General features: G+C 38.3%; 1 protein-coding gene across 23 annotated transcripts in view, besides 1 other annotated feature; it reads left to right on the top strand.

Moving 5' to 3' along the window:
• Nucleotides 11,439-11,918: an enhancer, noted in NCBI's record as "active region_20674". NCBI's record gives its function as "activates an Ori minimal core promoter by ATAC-STARR-seq in GM12878 lymphoblastoid cells {active_cell/tissue: GM12878}" and the evidence as "EXISTENCE:reporter gene assay evidence [ECO:0000049][PMID:35858748]".
• The window catches only part of PLSCR1 (phospholipid scramblase 1), a 29,428-nt gene continuing 20,390 nt past the window's right edge, over nt 11,768-20,805 (top strand). For 8 of the 23 annotated variants that reach the window (NR_175994.1, NR_175995.1, NR_175997.1 and 5 more), the window contains exons 1-2: nt 11,768-11,908; nt 19,810-19,835. Coding sequence is in view for 6 of the 23 variants with exons in the window: in NM_001406036.1 (NP_001392965.1) it covers nt 19,823-19,835 (13 nt within the window). In the remaining 17 variants the exon portion in view is untranslated. Of the gene's footprint in view, nt 11,909-15,194; nt 17,624-18,330; nt 18,380-19,809; nt 19,836-20,805 lie in introns of all 23 variants that reach the window. The other 15 variants (NR_175998.1, NR_175999.1, NR_176000.1 and 12 more) reach the window with 7 other exon arrangements.

The following is a 20,805-nucleotide window of genomic DNA, read 5'->3' as shown; positions in this document are numbered from 1 at the left end:
ATGATTTAGTGAATCATGCCTGCATAATGAAGCCACCAAAAAAAGGACTGGGTTTGGGGAGCTTCAGGACTGCTGAATCCATGTAGGAACCTAGAGGGTAACACACTCAGAGAGGTTATGGGAACTCCATTCTCCCTACCCTAGACCTCACCCTGTGCATCTCTTCATATGTCCATCTGTATCCTTTATCATATCCTTCATTTATGTAATAAATCAGTAAATGACAGTATTTCCCTGAGTTTTGTGAGCCATCCTAGCAAATTAGTCAAACCTAGGAGTGGGTCATGAGAACCTGATTTACAGCCTGTTGGTAAGAAATATAAGTGACAACCTATTGCTCATGATTGGCATCAGAAGTGGGGGTGGCATTTTTTGGGGACTGATGCCTTAACTTGCAGGATCTGACTCTAACTCCAGGTGGACAGTGTAAGAATTGAGTTGAATTACAGGACACCCAGTTGGTGTCCTTTTGGCATGTGAAGAAAAACCCATAAACATCCATTGTCAGAAATTGAGTGCTGAGTAGTGTGTGAGAATAGGAAAAACAAATTGTTTTTTCTATCTCTTACAGACTGTGAGGGTATTCCCCGAAGAGATTATTGTTTGCATTTAGTAGACTGAGTAAAGGTCTCTCTCACCAAAGTGAGTGGGCAACATCCAATCCATTGAAGGATAGACTAAGTCAAACAAAAAGGCAAAGGAAGAGGTGATTTTGTCCTCTCTTCTTCTGCTAGGGCATCCATCTTCCCCTGCCCTCAGAGATCAGCATTTGTGGTTCTCAGGCATTTAGACTCTGGGACCCACACCATTGGCTTCCTTGATTCTTAGGCCTTCAGGCTTGGATCGGAACTACACAACTAGCTTTTTTGTGTCTCCAGCTTGCAGATGGCAAATTATGGAGCTTCTCAGCCTCCACAATCCCAGTAGCCAATCTCTCACAATACATCCTTTGTATCATCTGTATGCTTCCTGTTGGTCCTGATTTTCTGAAGAACCCCGACAAATACATCTCATATCTGAATCTTAGGATCTTCAGTTAATAGGGTTTCAAAGTGGTCTCGGAACTTTATATTAAAATGCCTCTTCCCTTCTTTTTGCTTGTGATACCTCCAGGAAAATTTATGTTTCCAATTAATAAATGTTGAGTTCACTGGATTCGTGGTGAAGTGATCCCCCTTTTAGGTTTTCATTACCTATTATGGTTAGTGATCATGATATTTGCCTATAATGTCTTTTGAGTAAGCTTGGTTAATAGTAATTGAAGTAACTTTTAAAAAATTCTAAATTTTTTGTTTGTATTTCATTATCTTCCCTTTTATTCTGCAAACCACTGAAATATAGTTTCTACCCCCACTATTTAAATAAAATTGACCTTTCTGTAATTGGTAGTGGCCTTTTAATTGTTAGAGCCCATAGAAACTTTTAAATATTGAACTAAAAGTGAGAAGAAATCTATCAAAATTCTTTTTTTTTTTTGCTTCGATTTCTAGCTTTTTTTCTTTTAAACCTAATAATATTTGTCTCTTAAGGTGGTCATTCAACAATTGGCTAAATAAGTAGAAACCTTTAGGCCCCAAATCTAACTGTTTGGTTTGGGAGGTTTGGATTTGTAGTAAGTGATAATTGTTTGCAAAGTGAATAAATGAAGGCGTCAAGTTCATCAGGTGGTGCCTGATAAAACCATAGCTGCAACTGGCTAGCCTCATAGATAGATTCAGCCTGTGCCTCCTCCCAGAGAAACCTGATGCAACAGCATGCTCACTCCCTTCCTGCTGGCTAAAAGAATGCTCTCTCTTTCTCTCCCCTGCCTGAAGAAAAAATGATAACTACTTTAGTAAATCCAGAAACTACACTGTGAGATCCTACTTTCTTTCCATCCAGATAGCATCGGCACAGTAGGCTTCAGATTGTGGCATAACATTGTGGGATATATCTTCCGATTACTGACTTTTTTTTCTTTATGGAACTGGGCGATGGGGAGCATAGTCAATTAGACACTGTGTTTGACCACAAGGTATATGTAAGCACGCTTTCACTGTCATTAGGTGCAAACAAAAGGACATGATACTATGTGAACTGTGAGGCGGGACTTGACCACGACAGCTACAATTTCTTTTATTTCCTTGCAATTTGTGACACCATTCATCACTTCCTTATGTAAGTCTGTCACATCTTAGTTTCAGAAAAACCACACTGCTCTCTTACACATCTTTCTTGGTCTTCCCTTTCAGTTTGCTTTAGGAAAGGTTAACAAACCCATGGTCTTTAAACATAGGTGTCCCAATTTCCCATACTTGAACCTCCTCTTCATGCAATAACATTTCAGCAGTGTTGCTCTGTCTAAACCATGGGTTCAATTACTGTGCATACAGCTGTTTCACTCCTAAGAGGTAGGCAAGCTTATCTTAATAAGCTATCAGTTTTTCCCACTTTGATGTCCCATAAGCCTCTCAAACTAAATTAATCTAACCAGACCCTCCCCCCAAATCTTCTTCTGCATTCCCTCATATATACATATATGTGTGTGTGTGTGTGTGTGTGTGTGTGTGTGTGTGTGTGTATGTGTACTATCAATTGCCCAACGTGGAAACATTCTTAAGACAATTCTCTTCCTTCCTCTCCCTTACATTGATTGAGTGGCCAAGCATTGTCTATTCTTTTTCTAAAATCCCTTAGAGACCTCCCTCCTTTTTAATTTTACTTAACATCACCTCACTATTTTAGTTCAGGATTACATTATTTTGATTTTGAATTGCAACTAAAGTGATCTAGCAGCTTGTTTTTCCTATCACACAAATCATTCCTCACAATGTCACTAATTTAGTCTTTCTAAAACAAGAGCTTGATAATGTCTTTCTGATACTTAAAATTATATCATTTTTCAATCTATCCTCCAAGATGAAAGCCAATGTCCTCTCCATGGTATATGGCCTTACACCAGTGACTCCTTCCCAATCTTTCCAGGGATTATTAGTTTGGATAGTGCTAGTTGCTATAACAAATTTTCCAACAGAATTTATTTCTCCCTGATATGACTATCAAGGTGAGAGTTTTGACTAATGGACAGCTTTTATTCATGTGGAATTTCAGGTTGGAGAGATTCTTTGTTTTGTAGTTCAGCCATCCCTTAAGAGCTCATCATCTTCTGCATCAAATCAATGGATGGAAAATAGCAGTGAAGGCTCACCTATTAAAAATTCTTGCTTAGAACTTAAATATTTGTTTCTTCTCACATTCTAACTGGCTAGAATTCAGTCATGTGACCACACCTCTATGCAAGGAAATACAGTCCCAGGCTAGACAGCCACTTCTCAGCAAGAATTGTATTCCATGAAAGAGAGAACAATAATTTTGATCCACAGTTAATTGTCTCTTCCTCAAGATCCAGAGTCTCTGTAAATTCCATACTTTGCTCCATCTTGCACTATAGTTATGCTTAACTGCTTGTATTCTTCAAATACACCATGGCCTTCCTTTGCTTGTGTTGCTGTCTTTTGCTTTTGAATATCTTCTACTCTTCTTTCAAAACTTAGTTGAGAAGGCTTGTCCTTCACAAAGTCAGCACAGAAACGTTATTTCTGGATTAATACCCTCCTTATGTATTCTATATTTTTCTCTTGCAATATGGTGCTTGGAAAATCTTGATAGGTTCAGTCTAATTTCTGTGCATTATTACTCTAAAATGTCCATTTTCTCTTTCTCAGTGGGACTAAAAAACATGGGTATTGAAAATCTGGCTTACTAAAAATGATTGTTATTACAAACTTCTGGAAGTGTTTTTGTTACAGCACTAGGATTTAAGATTTTATAAATACTTGTGATCATATATCCGGCTACAGTTTGTTAAAGAGGGACTTTTATTTTGGCCTTAATCTTTAGTGAAAATCTTCAGAAGATGGTGTAAATATTTCTTAATTAATCACAAACACATTTCCTTGTATTTCTGGGCAGACACTAGACAGCATCCTCCAGCCTCCTTCTCCATTAAGTGTGGCTGCTATCCAACTGAGTTCAGACCAATACAATGGAACCAGAAGAAATATGTGTCAATTTCATGTGTGGCTCATAAAAATCTCCCATATACAATCCTTTTTGTCCCATCATGACTGCAGACTCAATGTCAAAGCCCAGAACTACCTGGGAAGCCATATATTAAAGATGCCAGAGCTTCCATTAACCTGGGTTCCTAAATGATGCTGTGAAGCAGAGTCCTCCACTTACAAAAAGGAACATTTCCATGTAATTGTTTTATAGCCAAATTTTAAAATTTTATTTGTTATTAAAGTCTTGGAGTTGATGGTAATGTCCCCAGCATTACCCAATATAATTGGCCCAATGTTGATTAATAAAAAATTGAGAGGCCGAGACGGGCGGACCACGAGGTTAGGAGATGGAGTCCATCCTGGCCAACATGGTGAAACCCTATCGCTACTAAAAACACAAAAATTAGCTGGGCATGGTGGTGCATGCCTGTAATCCCAGCTACTCAGGAGGCTGAGGCAAGAGAATCACTTGAACCCAGGAGGTGGAGGTTGTTGTGAGCCGAGATAGCACTACTTCACTCCAGCCAGGCGACAGAGCAAGACTCTGTCAAAAAAAAAAAAAAAAAAAAAAAAAGGAAGATTTTTGTAATTTAGGTGACATTCAGGCACCCAGTTGTCAGGACTAGTGATTCAAAGTGAAAATTTCCTTCTTCTGCTGTTTCCCATAAAGCTCTGTTATATCAATTCTTCCTTGGAGCTGTGGGAGTCTTAGAGGTATTGATTCTAAGCCAGAAAAGAGAGTTAAGTGCAATAAAGATTTTAGAAGGAATACTAATAAAACCTCAGTAGTACAATGATTTTTGACTACAAATAAACTTCGATAGCTCAAACAAAAAGCCATTATCATAAAGAACTACAACCATAGTATAAAATTAAAAAGAAACCCCAGCATGCAGAAGAGAAGAGCAATAAAGAAGCTTGCTTGAATATGAAATCAGGTCAAGAGCAAAGAGAAATATCTATAGAGTTTATAACCACAAGCCAGCTTTCACGTAATGAGTCATCTGAAGCTATGTGAGTCCTGCATGAGTGTAGCAGGTCATCAGTGCCTCACGTGCCCTTGGAAAGATATGTAGAACATTTTGTATCCACCATCCTTAAGACTTGTTCTCCCATATTCTGTGATCTGAAGATAACTGTCATAATTCCATATGTCACTGCCTTATATAAGAGAGAAAGAGGCATATTATACACTTGCATGTGTATTTATGTGTGTATGCGTGCATATATATATATATATATACACACACACACACACATACACAAAAGCCCTCTTCTTGAGGGCTTCTAGGAAAGGGTTTACTGCTTACATTTGCATATGCCCTCAATTATACAAGTCAGTCAAAGGAGAATAGAATCACTATGATTGTCTATTACTCAAAATTCATCCTTTGTGCTATGACCCTCCTCTTATGATGCACTGTTACACAATACCTGAAAAAAATAGAGTTCTTTCAGCAAATGCTTCTTAAAATGTGGTCTATTGAAAAGAATCATCAGCACCCTACGGAAAATTGTTAGAAAAGCAAATTCTCAAAGCACATCCCAGACTTACTGAATCAGAAAGACTAAAGGCGGGACTCTGCAAATTTAGTTCTAATTAGATTTCCAAGTGATACTTATGCATGTTAAAATATGGGAAGCACTATTTTACTCTGTCAAAGCAAATACTGAGTTTTATTTAGGCAAACAATAATTTATATGGTATCTGGATGTTTTCTAATTAAAGATGGTACCTTTCATCAGAGACTATAATAAAATGAAAATGAAGACAATTAAAACAAAATAAAGAACCCAAAAGCTGTAAACACCACACAGACTATGAAAAGATGAGAATTTACTGTAGCAAGTGAGATTTCAACAAATTTGAGAAAATGGAAGGGAGAGGCAAAAGTGAAACTGATTTTGCAAGACTCAGAAAGTCACAACCTAAAGTGTGTAAAAAGGAAAATAAGATTCAGGAGATCCACCTTAACTCCACAGAAATCCAAAGAGGCTGAGGACTTAGTGGTGTCAAATAAAAAGACAAAGTTATAAATTAGCAAGTAAATTGAGGATGCTTGAAGGTCTATTCACAAGCCAATTCACCCAGCCTAACTTACTACCTCCACAAAGAGAATGTGGTACCACCCTAAGCAAAGGATAGATTTCTTCTGTGTAAAATTGGCAGAAAAGTTTTGGGATTCAAAATACACTATTCATCAGGGAAGGAGAGGTTGAAAAATATAGAAAATGAAAGCTACTGGATTTCTACTGTCTCCTGCCCTTTTGCAGCAGAAGTCCATTAGTCAGGAAGGTAAACCCAAAGCAAATGCTTACCCTGTGGCAGGCACCACCCTAAACCTTTTATGTATTTTAACTTTCTGAAGTTTCAAAAAATGTTATGAAGTAGATACTATTACTACCCTCATTTATAGATTTCAAAAAGAGGCACGGAGGCTGTCAGGTAACTTTCATGAGGTCACAGGGATGGTAAGTTGAAGAGAAAGAGATCAAACCTAGGTGGTTCAGTTTTCCCTCTTCCTTTTTCCACCATGTTTTCTCAATTTCTTTTTCCACCTTCCTGTTCTCTCCTCTCACTTCTCTTAGTAAATCTTCAAACATGTGTTAACCTTGGTTAGCAAGATAATGGGAATAAAACTAGGGAGTGAAAAGGACAAGATTTCACTTCTTTTCTGCATTTGCAGCTTTATTGTTTGGAAAAAAATCACATTACTTTTGTAAATAACAAATTTTAAAGGAAAATAATTATTCCTTCAGTTCAATAAATATTTATTTATTACATGTCTCTATGCCAGCTGCAGGGCTGGAAAAATAAACATTCTAAACAAATCTGGTTGGTTTGATTTCAAAACATATTTAAAATATCATTTGGTATAGTCCCATTTATTTATTTTTGTTCTTGTAGCCTGAGCTTTTGGTGTGATAGTCAAGAAATCTTTGGCAAGGTAAATGTCAAGGAGCTTTTCTCTTATATTTTCTTCCAGGAGTTTAACGGTTTGAGGTCTTACATGTAGGTCTTTTATCCATTTTGTTTTTGATTTGTTTGTGTGGTGTAAGACAACAGTTCAATTTCATTCTTTTGTATGTGAAAATCCAGTCTTCCCAGCACCATTTATTCAAGAGACCATCCTTTCCTCATTGTGTTCTCTTGGGGCCCTTGTGAAAAATTAGTTGACCGTGTATGTTTGGATTTATTTCTGAGCTATTTTGTTCCATTGGTCTACATATCTGTTTTTATGTCAGTGCCATTCTGTTTTATATAAATTTGTAATATAATTTTTAATTAGGAAGTGTTATTTCTCCAGCTTCAATTTTTTTCTCAGAATTGCTTTGGCTATTTGAGGTCTTTTGTGGTTTCATACAAATTTGCATTGAATCTATATATTACTTTGGGTAGTATGAACATTTTAACAATATTATTTCTACATCAAACCAAAAACTTCTGCATGGCAAAGGAAACAATCAACGAAATGAAATGGCAACCTATAGATTGGAAAAATATATATCTGCAAATCATGTTCTCAGAAAAGGGTTGAGTTTCCAAGATTTATAAAGAACTTATACAACTCAATAGCAAGAAAACATATAACCCAATTTAAAAATGGGAAATGGACTTGAATAGACACTTCTTCAAAAATGACATAAAAATAGCCAACAGGTATATGAAAATGTGCCCAGCATCACTATTCATCAGAAAAATGCAAATCAAAATCACTATGAGATACTACGTCATACCTGTTAGGATTGGTATTATCAAAAAGACAAGAGATAACAAGTGTCGGCAAGGGTGTAGAGAAAAGAGAATCCTTGTACACTGTAGGTGGGAATGTAGGCTGGTGCAGCCGTTATGGAAAACAGTACGGAGGTTCCTACAGAAATTAAAAGTAGAACTACCATATGACCCAGAAATCCCTCTTCTGGGTATATACCAAAAGCAAATGAAATCACCGTCTCCTGAAGATAGCCGCACTCCCATGTTCATTGCAGCATTATTCAGAATAGCCAAGATAATAGAAATAATCTAGGTGTCCATCAATAGACAACTGTATAAATAAAGATACATATATTCCATGTTGTGTGTATACACACACACAGATACACACAAAATAGAATATTACTCAGCCTTATAAAAGAAGGAAATTCTGCCAGGTGCTATCACATGGATGGACCTGGAAGGCATTATGCTAAATGAAATAAGCCAGACACAGAAAGAAAAATTTTGCACAATCTCACTTATATGAAATTAAGAAAAGGTCAAATATATACAATAGTGGTTTATAGCAGGGGTCCCCAAGCCCCAGGCCACGGACCTGCACATGTGAGGGATCTAGGTGCATATTTCTTAGGAGAATCTAATGCCTGATTATCTGAGGTGGAGCTCAGGCAGTGATGCTAGCATCGGGCAGCAGCGGCAAATACAGATTAACATTAGCAGAGAGTTTTGACTGCACAGAGACCATAATAAATACATTGATTGCAGACTCATATCAAAACCCTATCAGTGAGGGGCAAATGACAAGTGACAATTAAGCTGTGTCTGGAGGCAGGCTTTATAGTGGAAAATTGATGTACTTCAATTGTACAGTTGCATCTGGTGGCAGGCTTTAAGTCAGAATCCAACACTTATTTTAGTCTGTGCATGGCCCACCCATTATTTTACCACTTCCATCTGCACCTCTTTTCCACACTGTGCACTTGTCTTAGTCACAGTTTTGCTAAGCCCACAAGCTAACCCTTGTGAAAAACAAGGGTTTTTGTTAAAAAAAAGTTTTTGTTAAAAACATCAAAGTGAGTGAAAAACAAACATCACTGGACAGCTTCTTTGAAAATGGGGAAAAACCCAAAGGTGAGATAACAGAAGACTCTAAGACTGCTAACAAAAAGAAAGCTGCACTTAAAGGAAAATGCCAAGAGTCCTACTTAAATTACAGGTTCATTGCAACAGGTGGTTCACATTCTCCAATCCTGCTTTGTATAATATGTGGTGACCAACTGCCCAATGAAGCCATGAAACCTGCAAAACTACTTTGCCACATGGAGACCAAGCACTCTGCATTAAAAGACAAGCCTTTGGAGTTTTTTGTTTTGTTTTGTTTAAAAAAAAAACAGAAACCATGAAACCATGAACACAAAGAACACATAGAAGCAATTATTGAAGGCCACCATGTCATCAAATGTGTCTGCACTGAGAGCATCATTCATAGTGGCTAACTGCATTGCTAAAGCTAAGAAGCCCTTTACTATTGGTGAAGAATTGATCCTGCCTGCTGCTAAGGACATTTGTTGGGAACTTTTAGGAGAGGCTGCAGTTCAAAAAATAGCACATATTCCTCTTCTGGCTAGCACCATAACTAGATGAATTGATGAAATAGCAGAGAATATCGAGGTACAATTGTTAGAGAGGATTAATGAGTCACCATTAATCCTCTCTAGCAATTGGTATGCAATCCAGGTTGATGAGTCTACTGATATTGACAACAAAGCAACAATGCTTTTTTGTGTGTGATATATTTTTCAGGAAGATGTGCACAAGGATATATTATGTGAATTTTTGTTGCCAATCAAAACCACAGCTGAAGAACTATTTGTCTTTGAATGATTACATATCAAGAAAACTGAATTGGTTATTTTGTGTAGGTATATGCATGGAAGGAGTGGCTGCCATGACTGGATGGCTTTCTGGTTTCACTACTCTGGTCAAAGAGACCAGAATGTGAGTCTATGCACTGTGTCATCCACAGAAAAATGCTGGCTAGCTGAAAAATGTTACCTGAACTTAACAATGTTTTGCAGGATGTGACAAAAATAATCAACCACATTAAAGTACATTTTCTTAACTCACATCTGTTTGTGCAGCTCTGTGAGGAGATGGACACTGGGCATGCATGTCTTCTCTTATACACAGAAATGAGATGGCTTTCTAAAAGTAGATCACTGGCTGAAATTTTTGAATTATGAGAGCTGCTCCAGAGATTTATTTTAGAAAATCAGTCACCATTGGCGGCACATTTCAGTGACACAGAAAGGGTTGCAAAACTTGCTTACTTGTGTGATGTATTCAACTCGATCTATGAACTCAACTTGTCGCTTCAGGAGAGAAGGACAACTGTGTTCAAGGAAGCAGATAAATTGGTTGCATTGAAAGCCAAACTGGAATTATGGGGGCAACGAATGAACATTGAGATTTTTGACATGTTTCAAACATTAGCAGAGATTTTGAAGAAGACTGAGCCAGCAGCTTCTTTCTCTCAGCTGATGCATGATCACCTATCTTAGCTTTCAAAAGAGTTCGAGCATTACTACCCAACCACAAAAGAACCCTGAACTGGGAATGAATGTATCCATGACCCATTTGTGAGTAAGTCAGGTGAATCGATTTTGTCCGTACTAGAAGAGGATCAATTGCTTGAGATCACAAATGATGGTGGCCTTAAAAGTATGTTTGAGACAGCTTCAAATCCCATGTTCTGGATTAAACTCAAGGTGGGATATCCTGAGATTGCCACAAAAGCACTGAAGAGTCTGCTTCCATTTCCAACATGCTATCTTTGTGAAGCAGGATTTTCTGCAGTGACAGCAACCAAAACAAGATTACGGAGTAGACTGGACATAAGCAACACACTTCTGGTGTCACTGTCTCCCACCGTTCCCAGATGGGACCTTCTAATTGCAGGAAAACAAGGTCAGGGCTCCCACTGATTCCACATTATGGTGAGTTGTATAATTATTTTATTATATATTACAATGTAATAATAATAGAAGTAAAGTGCGCAATACACGTAATGTGCTTGAATCATCCTGAAACCGTCTGCCACCCGGCCCTGGTCCATGGAAAAATCCTCTTCCGTGAAACTGGTCCCTGGTGCCAAAAAGGTTGGGGACCACTGGTTTATCCAGGGTCATCCAGGTTGGAGTGGGGTCAGGAGAAATGGGGAAATTTAGGTAAAAGTATACAAAGTTACAAACACGTAGGATGAACAAATGGGAAGACCTAATGTACAACATGAGGGCTATAGTTAATGATAGTGGTATTCAGGATTTATGCTAAATAAGTAGATTATAGCTGCTCTTGCCCCAAGGGGGGAAATGTGTAATTATAGGAGTTGATGGATATGTCATACAAATAACTTAAATACACAGAATAAAAACTATTTTAGTTTAAAAAGGAACAATATTTATAAAAAAATAAAGTGAGCTCGAAAACATTCAAATAACTGCTTAAAAATTAAAAAGTAATATCACATAATTTAATAGAAGGAAAGAAAGAGCAAGACAGCAAGAAAGAAAAGGCACCATAAAGAAAAACAATTTTGGCCCCTCCTCATTTGTAGTCTTAAGCTGCCTCTACTCCCTCGCCTTGAAAAGCCACGGGCTTCCGAGGGATGGAGGTCAAAGCCAGAGTAAAGAAAGTTCCCGGGGGAGGCCACTCCCCAGCTGATGACTTTCCAGTTCCAGTTAGTGTCGGAGTCCCAGTTCCTCTCCTTAACCACCGGACAAACGTCTCTGGAGTCTCTCCAATGAGCAAGAAAGCAAGTCGGGGGTAGGGGAGGGGCCTCACACCAGGGGGTGGGCGCAGTCCCTCCTCCAGCTCCTTCACCCTCCAGTAGTCTCGTGGGTCCCCGAGCGCCAGCGCGGGAACCGGGAAAAGGAAACCGTGTTGTGTACGTAAGATTCAGGAAACGAAACCAGGAGCCGCGGGTGTTGGCGCAAAGGTTACTCCCAGACCCTTTTCCGGCTGACTTCTGAGAAGGTTGCGCAGCAGCTGTGCCCGGCAGTCTAGAGGCGCAGAAGAGGAAGCCATCGCCTGGCCCCGGCTCTCTGGACCTTGTCTCGCTCGGGAGCGGAAACAGCGGCAGCCAGAGGTGCGCGGGCGGCTTTCTCTGCCGCCTCCTGGGGACTTGGGCGCGGGAACTGCGCGGAGCCTGCGCTGGGGCCAGGGCCGGGGTCAGGTGTGGAGGGCAACTTGTGGGGAACCGGCGCGAGGGCCCGCAGGTTGTGTTTGCTGCTCTGGGGGTGGAGGATGTGGGGTGAAGGTTGGGGCCAGAAATGCAAGAGGCCTCTGAAAGGGACCCTGGAAGTGGAGCAGGTACACGGCAAGGGGCCCCAGGCGGCCCAGCGGCACCCGGGCTCACCCCAGAACCATTCGAATGACAAGGGGTGCCCTGCCTGAAAACGCCTTGCGGGGCTCAGCTTCCCCTTAGCTACACTGCTTTACAGGTAGAGAGCGGCCCTGAATCCTGGGTAGAGTCTGGGCTCAGGAGCATGTGCCAGCGTAGTGGGGCTATTAGAAGGAATGGTTAATACAGCCTGCAAGCTGTCATTTATCAGTAAGTATTCAATGAAGTCCGCCGGAGCCCACATCTATGCTAGGCCCTCTACAATACCAGCTTAGGAAAGATAGTGGCGGTATCTAGCACGGTTCCTAAGACCATTAGCTCCAGTCAGGCTCCCCGACTTTAAATTCGGCCTCTACTGCTTCACGTCTGTGGACTGTCAGCCACTTTCTTCTTATATATGTTCTTTCCATTGCCTCATCTCTGAAATTGTGTAACTATTAAATGAGCTACAGAGTATTAATGTAAAATTCTTAGAGCAGTGCCTGGCGCTACAGAAAGTACTCAGTGAAAGTTAGCTCTTATTATTTTAAATATTTGACAAAGTTCCTGCTTCTCCAAGCTGATTCTCTGGTTCCCAGGTGGTTTCATTCATGCACTGTTATTCCTGGAAGTCTTGGCATGGCCACTTCCCAGTTCCAGGAACAGGCAGTCGTTGTTTTTTCTGGCTTATCACATTGAGATACATGGTTACTACAAGTGACACTTAAACGTGTCAGACAGTTTGGGGGCTCCCTTCTTGAACTTTTTCTAAGAGCAAACCTTTGTCTTAATGCCACCCTGTTTACAACAATAGTAGGGCTTTGAACAATGAGAAAATGCGGGGAAATGAAAAAGACATATAAAGGGAAAGAGTGGATTTATGCAATTGGATAGAAAAGTGGCATGTAAAATAGCTGGTTTATAGATCAAACTGCCTTTAGATCTGTAAAGGAGCTTAGAGTACATACAGGTGGAGAGACATCAGATGTGTGTGAGCAGACCCTTATGTACTTCTCCATCTTCATCTCTAAGAATGTCTCCCTCTTTTGCTCTGTAACCTCACTCGTCTTCCTTTACTTGAATGAGGGACGTTCCTCCAGCTCAGGAATTCTACCTATGGAGTTCCCTCTATCTATGATGCCCTCCAACACCCCACCCACCATACCTCCATAGACTAGTTGATTTGAGACTTCCTTCATCTCCTAGTCTGACTTTTCTTAAACCCCCTACCACCATCTAAGTTAGTGCCCCATAACCCTTTCTTATAGCAACATTAATTTTATTTATAGCACTTAGAGTATTTTTAATAATATATTTAATTCTTAATTGTCTGTCTCCCCTAGTGTCTAGGTATTGTGCTCTAGTGCCTGGTATAGTGCCTTGCATGCTCTATGCCTTCAATTAATTCCTTTAAAACCACACAAGCTTTATATTTAGTGAATATTTATATAGGAAGAATTTCTATGTGTATATATGTGTATCTGTGTATATACACACTGTATTGCACTGCCCTGAATAGTGCTAAATTAAAAAACCAAAACACTTTTTAATCAGAACTTAATAGTTGCACTCTTCAATTTTCCATATGTTCTTTTAAGAAGTGATTAGAAAAAAATGATGTCTCCATATGTTGTCTGCTGCTGTAAAAGAATACCTGAGACTTGGTAATTTATAAAGGACAGAAATTTATTTCTTACAGTTCTGGAGGCTAGGAAGTCCAACATAATCATGTGTTGCTTAAATACAGGAATACATTCTGAGAAATGCATCATGAGGCAATTTTGTGGTTGTGAGAACGTCATAGAATTTACTTACACAATCCTGGATACTATAGCCAGCCTACTATTTAGGCTGGGGTGGTGGGGTTGGGGGTGTTGAGGAGAGTCAGATTGAGAGCTGAGGGAAGTCTCAAATCAACTAGTCTATAGACGTGTGGGTGAGTGGGTTGGTGGAGGGCATTATAGACAGAGGGAACCTCACAGGTAGAAGTCCTGGGCTGGAGGGAACTTGGCTCATTCAAGAAAAGGAATGACCAGTGAGGTGGCAGATAGCCTACTAGACCTAGACTGTGTGGAATAAGGTGTTGCTCCTAGGCTAGAAACCTGTATAGCATGTACTACTGTAATGAATACTGTATGCAAGTATAATACAATGTCAAGTATTTATGTATCTAAACATAGAAAGGGTACAGTAAAAATAATCTTATGGGACCACCATCATATATGTGATCTGTTGTTGTGGTGCATGACTGTATGGAGGCACCAGCATCTTGTGAGGGTCTTCTTACTGCATCATCCCATGGTGGAAAGTGGAAGGGCAAGACAGCAAGAGAGAGTGGAACTTGATTTCCTTACAAGCCTACTCTGGCAATAACAAACCCACTCCCAAGATAACGACATTAATCTATTCATGAAGGTAGAGTGCTTATAAACTAATCATATTTTATTAGGCTCCACCTCCCAACACTGTTGCATTGGAAATTAAGTTTCCAACACATGAACTTAGCTCACACATTCTAACCATAGCACCTGGCCTAGTTAAAGCTAAGTGGCACAAGAGTAAATTGAAATTCAAGCCTTTTCTGTCTTACATAAGAAAGATAACCTTAAAAGAGTCTTTTAACAAATTTCACTGAAGGATGTCAGTCTTCCTTTTTTCAGTGAATTAGAGACATCGGTGCAAAGAATATGAATTATTAATCATCTTAATTCAGCTAGTTAGCAAGCTGTATCACATTTATTAAAATCACTTTTATTTCTATGGGTTTAGTTTCACCATTTATTAGGAGGAAAGGAAGCAAATTTGTGAGGGAGCTCTGGGTTGTCAGGAAAGGCTTTTCAGAGTAGTAAAGCAATCAAATGAGAATAACTGATTCAGTATTTGTTTCCTTTGTCTCTTTGGTTTACTTTTTAGTTTTGTAGAACACTTGATCACTACCATCTCACTTGGTCCTAGTTGATGTATCATCTACATTTTTATTCAAGGTTTAATATAAAATGCTATAAAAGGCTATCCTAAACTGGTTTTAAGCATATTTGTTTTGTTTGTTCAGCATAAAATACACAAGAGGATTTTTATGGAATGGCTCCTTGTTACAAGGTACTTTGCATTTATAATCAGCCACAGTCACCTCAGTTTCATCCCGTATCTTACAAGTATGATGTGCTGTATACTCAAAGCCTCACCACCTGCTTGCCCCACCCATTTGCTTAAATGTATCAATTTTTTCTAAGCTTAACTTTTACCAAAACTGGAGTTCAACAGATGAATATTTTTCCTTCTTAGATGTTAACTAAACATTTTTAAAGGTACAAAATTTATGTACAAACATAACCCAAATGACATGGAAGTTACTTGATTTGTGACTTACCTCTGTAATGTTCCCCTGGCCTACTTGAAATTCCTACCTTTCCTCTAGTCTAGTATCTTATTCTCAGTTATTCGGAGGAAGTTAGGGACCTAGAATTCTTGTTTTCAGAGCAGTAGAATTTTGCTAACATAATTCAAAACATTTATCCCTATCTTGGGGCTTGAAGAGAATGTGAAATGCTTTATCTTCTGTTTTGAGGGAATGAGGGAAGGAGCTTGTTCTTAGGCAATTAACAAGTAAATTTAAATAAATAATCCAAATCTGGTGTGGGTAAACAAATTTTAGTTTTAGGAACTTTCAAAATTAAGTATGCTTCCCCTTTGGGTTCCAGATTTTACAGTAATACTTTTTGAAAGCAGTAAGATAAAAATTTCAGGACCTCAAGAGATGGGTCAAAAGAGTTTCACTGTAATATGAATTTTGAAGCCAGAACTGGAAATCCCCTGTGCTGTGTCTTCCTCTTCGTGGTAGTAGAGGTTACAGTTATCAAATAGTCCAGAGAAGCAATGGGAACTTATGATTTCTGATAGAAAAATTTTAACAGAGATGTACTTGTATGCAAATAATATATGATGCCTCAGTTTCCTCCAAAGTCTTAGTTAACAGAGTTAGAAAAAATCAGATTATATTTGAAGTTCTGTGTTCATACTGGAGTAATTATTATTCCAATGGTACAATATACAACATAACTTTATTACATTTTTTGGTACAGCATAAAGATGATTTTCCCTTTCTCTGAGTATTTCTGAAATTTAAAATGAAATAAGTGTGGTAGAAGCCATTATTTATGAATTATCATGCTAAATTAATTAACTCATTAATTCATTCAGGGCACACCCAGTTATTCCCCAAACTGAGTGATGTATTTCTGGGAATAGACTTATTAAGCTTGAGAAAACCCAAAGGATCATTATAACAGCAAACAGGAATGTAGGCATCCACATAGTGGATGACTTTAGTGACCTGGCACACAGTGCCTTATCTACTTGGCACATGTACAGGTACAAGGAACACTTAACATTTTGCACCAGAGCTTATTACATACCACTTTCAATGCTTGAGATATTATATAAATGCTAAAATTCTAAAACCTATAGTAAAGCAAAGACCCAGATTTTATACTGCAGTAGTTTTGCCAGTAAGTCTCATCCTCACTAACTTATCTTTTAAGATTAAAAATAATGTAACCAAGTGGGAAGAAAAAGAGCAAATATGAACAAATTGTCATTGTTTTAGAATCTGCTTCTTTTCCTTTCCGGTATTTCTGTGCAAGGAGAGAATGATCTCTGACCTTGTGAAAGGCAAATACCATGTGTATTCATGGTTGTTATTCATTTGGCAACGACTTGAAACTCATGACACTCCCTGCTGAAGATCCTCCACCTATTCTTAACAGCTGGGCTCCCCAGCTCCTGGATCACCAACCAGTACCAGTCTGTGGCCTGTTAGGAACTGGGCTTGTACAGCAGGAGCTGAGCAGCTGGAGAGTGAGCAAAGTTTCATCTGTATTGACAGCTGCTCCCCATCGCTCACATACATTACCACCTGAGCTCAACCTCCTGTCAGATCAGCAGTGGCATTAGATTCTCATAGGAGCAAGAACCCTATTGTGAACTGCATGTGTGAGGGATCTAGGTTGCGCACTCCTTATGAGAATCTAATGCCTGATGATCGGTCACTGTCTCCCATCACCCCCACATGGGACTGTCTAGTTGCGGGAAAACAAGCTCAGGGCTCCCACTGATTCTACCTTATAATGAATTGTATAATCCTTTTGTTATATATTACAATGTAATAATAATAGAAATAAAGTGCACAATAAATGTAATGCGCTTGAATCATCCCAAAACCATCCCCTGCTTCACTGGTCCATGTCTTCCACAAAACCGGTCCCTGGTGCCAAAAAGGTTGGGGACCACTGTTTACCAGGATGCATAGCATGGGTTTATGAATTCCCTATCTTTGCAGCACATCCTTTATTTCTGGCTTGCATGGGACTTGAAAGCCTAAAACAACTAAATGCTAAGAAAAATTATTTTTAAAATGATGACAAAAATATTTTCTATTTCAGATGTATAGATCTGCAATCCAGAAACTATGAATTTTTTTCAGTTGAGTAGTCTGTTTGCCAAAAAATAAAAAAAAATAAAAAATAAAAACTTGCCTAAGTTTCTTCTCTTACATTTTATTTAGGATTTGCCCTTAGACATTATTTAGTGCTTTTCTGACCCTGTAGGGACGGTGAGAATAATTGAAACACTAGTTTCTTAAAATTTCTGTTAAAATTGGTTAAAGGCCATAGAATTTTTTTTTTAAGCTAAGCATGTTATAGAGAGGTATCCTATAAGAAGCAAGGGGCAGGTAAAGACTTTAGAGATGTATAGTCCAGTGTGTTAATTAAAGGATACTACCTACTTCTAATTCGGTATGTATTAATCTTTTCTGATATATCTGTTAAAGTACTCTTCGCATATTTTTAAAAAATTGGCATTTTAAAGTATAGTCTTTGATGGTAGAAATGTGAGATTGACAAAAATCATGTCCTCTTATGTATGAATTTAGTCTTACACAGTTCTTCATATGATGGAATCTAAAACAAATGTAGTCTTGAAAACTTTTAGTCTACTTTGGTTACATGTGTTTATTATTGCTCACCTTATAGATTAACAGCAGAAAAGTATAAATTTTAATATTTCTACCTTTCTGGCTTGAGGTCTACAGCATTAATTTCTGACCAGTTAATGCAAACTGAGATTCCTATTGTCCTAAGAAAATCTGGGAAGTTAGTAACACAAACACATCTTTTGATTTATTTCAGGACCACATAAACCCATTTTGAATTATTCAACCATTGCTGAACTTCTTGAGTATGTATAATTAAGAGTTGACTATAATTGGAATGTTCTTAAGACTTTAAGTTGATTATAAAATTTTGTGCTTAAAGTTGGCAATAATCAAAACAAAACAAACAAACAAAAAAAACCCTTTATTTTAAAACACAGTCTTGCTCTGTCACCCAGGCTGGAATGCAGTGATGACATCATACTTCATTAGACCGTCAATATTCCAGGCTCAAGCAATCCTCCCACCTCAACCTCCCGAGTAGTTGGGACTACAAGCGCATGCCACCATGCTTGGCTAATTTTTTTTTAGTAGAGACAGTGTCTGTCCATGTTGCCCAGGCTGATCTCAAACTTCTGGACTCAAGTGATCCTCCTGCCTCAGCTTCCCAAAATACTGGCATTATAGGCATAAGCCACCATCCCTGGCCAAAAAATAATTCTGAAACAGCAAGGAGGAAGGCGGTTTCTTCTTGGGAAGTCTTGATTTTAGTTGAGCATGTAGAGGGATCACTTGACTTATTAACCACTTAGGATTGCACAGTAAGATAATTTAAAGGGTAGCCAGCACTGGAGTGGGCCTGGGAAGGGGATGGGCAGTTTGTGTTAGTGTGTGTGGGTCCAAGATAAAAATGTTGGGTAGCAGAGTTTTGCCTAATGCATTGTCGCTAAAAGGGATGAAGGGCATCGGGATCTACAGGAGATGGAAAAAGTAGTGACAGGATAGTAGTGGGAAAAACTAGGATCGGATCAAGGCACTGGAAGGCAGAAATATTGAGTAGAATGTTTGCTGCAATTTATGTTTCTGTATAAATACCGAGTACAAAGTTTCACTTGGGTGGTCAAGGTGCTATGGCTGTGACAACTCCTGAGAGTGGGTTTTCTGGTTAAAAAAAAAAAAAAATCTCTGAATGCACGGAGTCGTCTCAGGCCTTCTCAAATTTGCAAAGAACAGGTCCACAAGACCTACATTTCCCAAGATAATTGCAGTAGTGTGACCTGATAATTAACATTTTTTGCTTTCCTGCTGGAACATTCCTGGGGCCCAGAGACTGGGCCAAGCATTTCCAGTCCAAAGACTGGGAACTGAACCAAGCATTTCCTTTAGATTGTTCAAGTTGTGAAGGTTGATGTTATTAGCTTGGTTACTACTTGGAGTCTTAGCTCATAGTGTGTCTTTATGGCTTTCTGCCTCACTGGACCCTCTTCCCAAAAGGCTTTAGAATGTGTTCACCATCATGAGCTGACCAACAATTTCTAAATTCCTACTCAGAAACACAGCAAGGGGAATGCAGTCAAGCACAAAGGGCTTAAATGACCAGATAAGGCTGGGCTGGATGAATAAAGAGGAATATCCTATGAATGTGACTGTGTAGTTTTAGAGTATCCCGATTCAACTGTTATATTTGACTTGTGGCCTTGTAGACAGTGTGTTAATGTCAGATCTTCTTTTTCAGAACTGTTTTAATCATGGACAAACAAAGTAAGTAATTTATTTTAAATGTTTACTTTCCTCCTTATAATGTTAATCTGTTGGTAACTTGTTATTTGTCATAATGTTTTATTCAGTGTCTGAAAGTGTATAATTTGTTTTCTGTTGTTTATGCTCCAGAATACAATGTCTAGTTCAGTATTTTGACTATAGAGAAGATGTACAAAAATAGCACTATCACTAGGTTCTTCATTAAAAATACGAAAGCCTTTTGGAAAGCTAAGAAATGCTAGATTTATTGGGAAATATGTTCTGTAACATATATTTAAACCACAACAATATTCTCTTTGTGTATTTTATATGTATAAAGATTATTCAAGTCATACTAATTAACAGATAATAAGATTTGAGTTCATTGTAATAAACTCCTCAGATACACACCTCAATGTATATTTCATCACAGACACATGTTTGTATTTTAAGTAAATACCAGTCATTATGTTCTGGCTTTTTTTCTCTCAAGAAAATTCTAAGTAAGATGGATATTTATCAAGCAAGTAATAAAAGACTGTCTTATTAAGATATCAAGGTTCTGAAGAACAGAGGGAAAATTATGTTCAAAATTCCCACTACATAGGGAAAATTAAATTCAAAAATTAAATCCTGTTTTTCTGAAACGCTTTTCTTTATTCTCTCTTTCATCTTTGTTGAGGTAACAAAAAAATATTTATCTGTCACTACAGTGTCACCCTTATTAGATATATGAAATAATCTCCAGGACTAGACTCCTTGCTTTTCCCATGTGAAGTTTTATGATTTTCTTTTTACTTACAAAACTCAAAGCTTTTTAAATGTAAATTTATATAGAATTATACTGGTTTATTTGCCACAGACTTTAAGTTGATTCCACTCAATTTACAAAAATGTATCTGGTGATGGTCATAGGCAACTTTTAACTCTTCAGTTTTGTATATATAATTGTATGTATGTATGAATGTATTTGCATAAATAGAAATAAAAT

Source organism: Homo sapiens, chromosome 3, assembly GCF_000001405.40.
Source record: "Homo sapiens chromosome 3, GRCh38.p14 Primary Assembly".
Taxonomy (NCBI): domain Eukaryota; kingdom Metazoa; phylum Chordata; class Mammalia; order Primates; family Hominidae; genus Homo; species Homo sapiens.
This window is presented reverse-complemented; position numbering and strand designations above follow the sequence as displayed.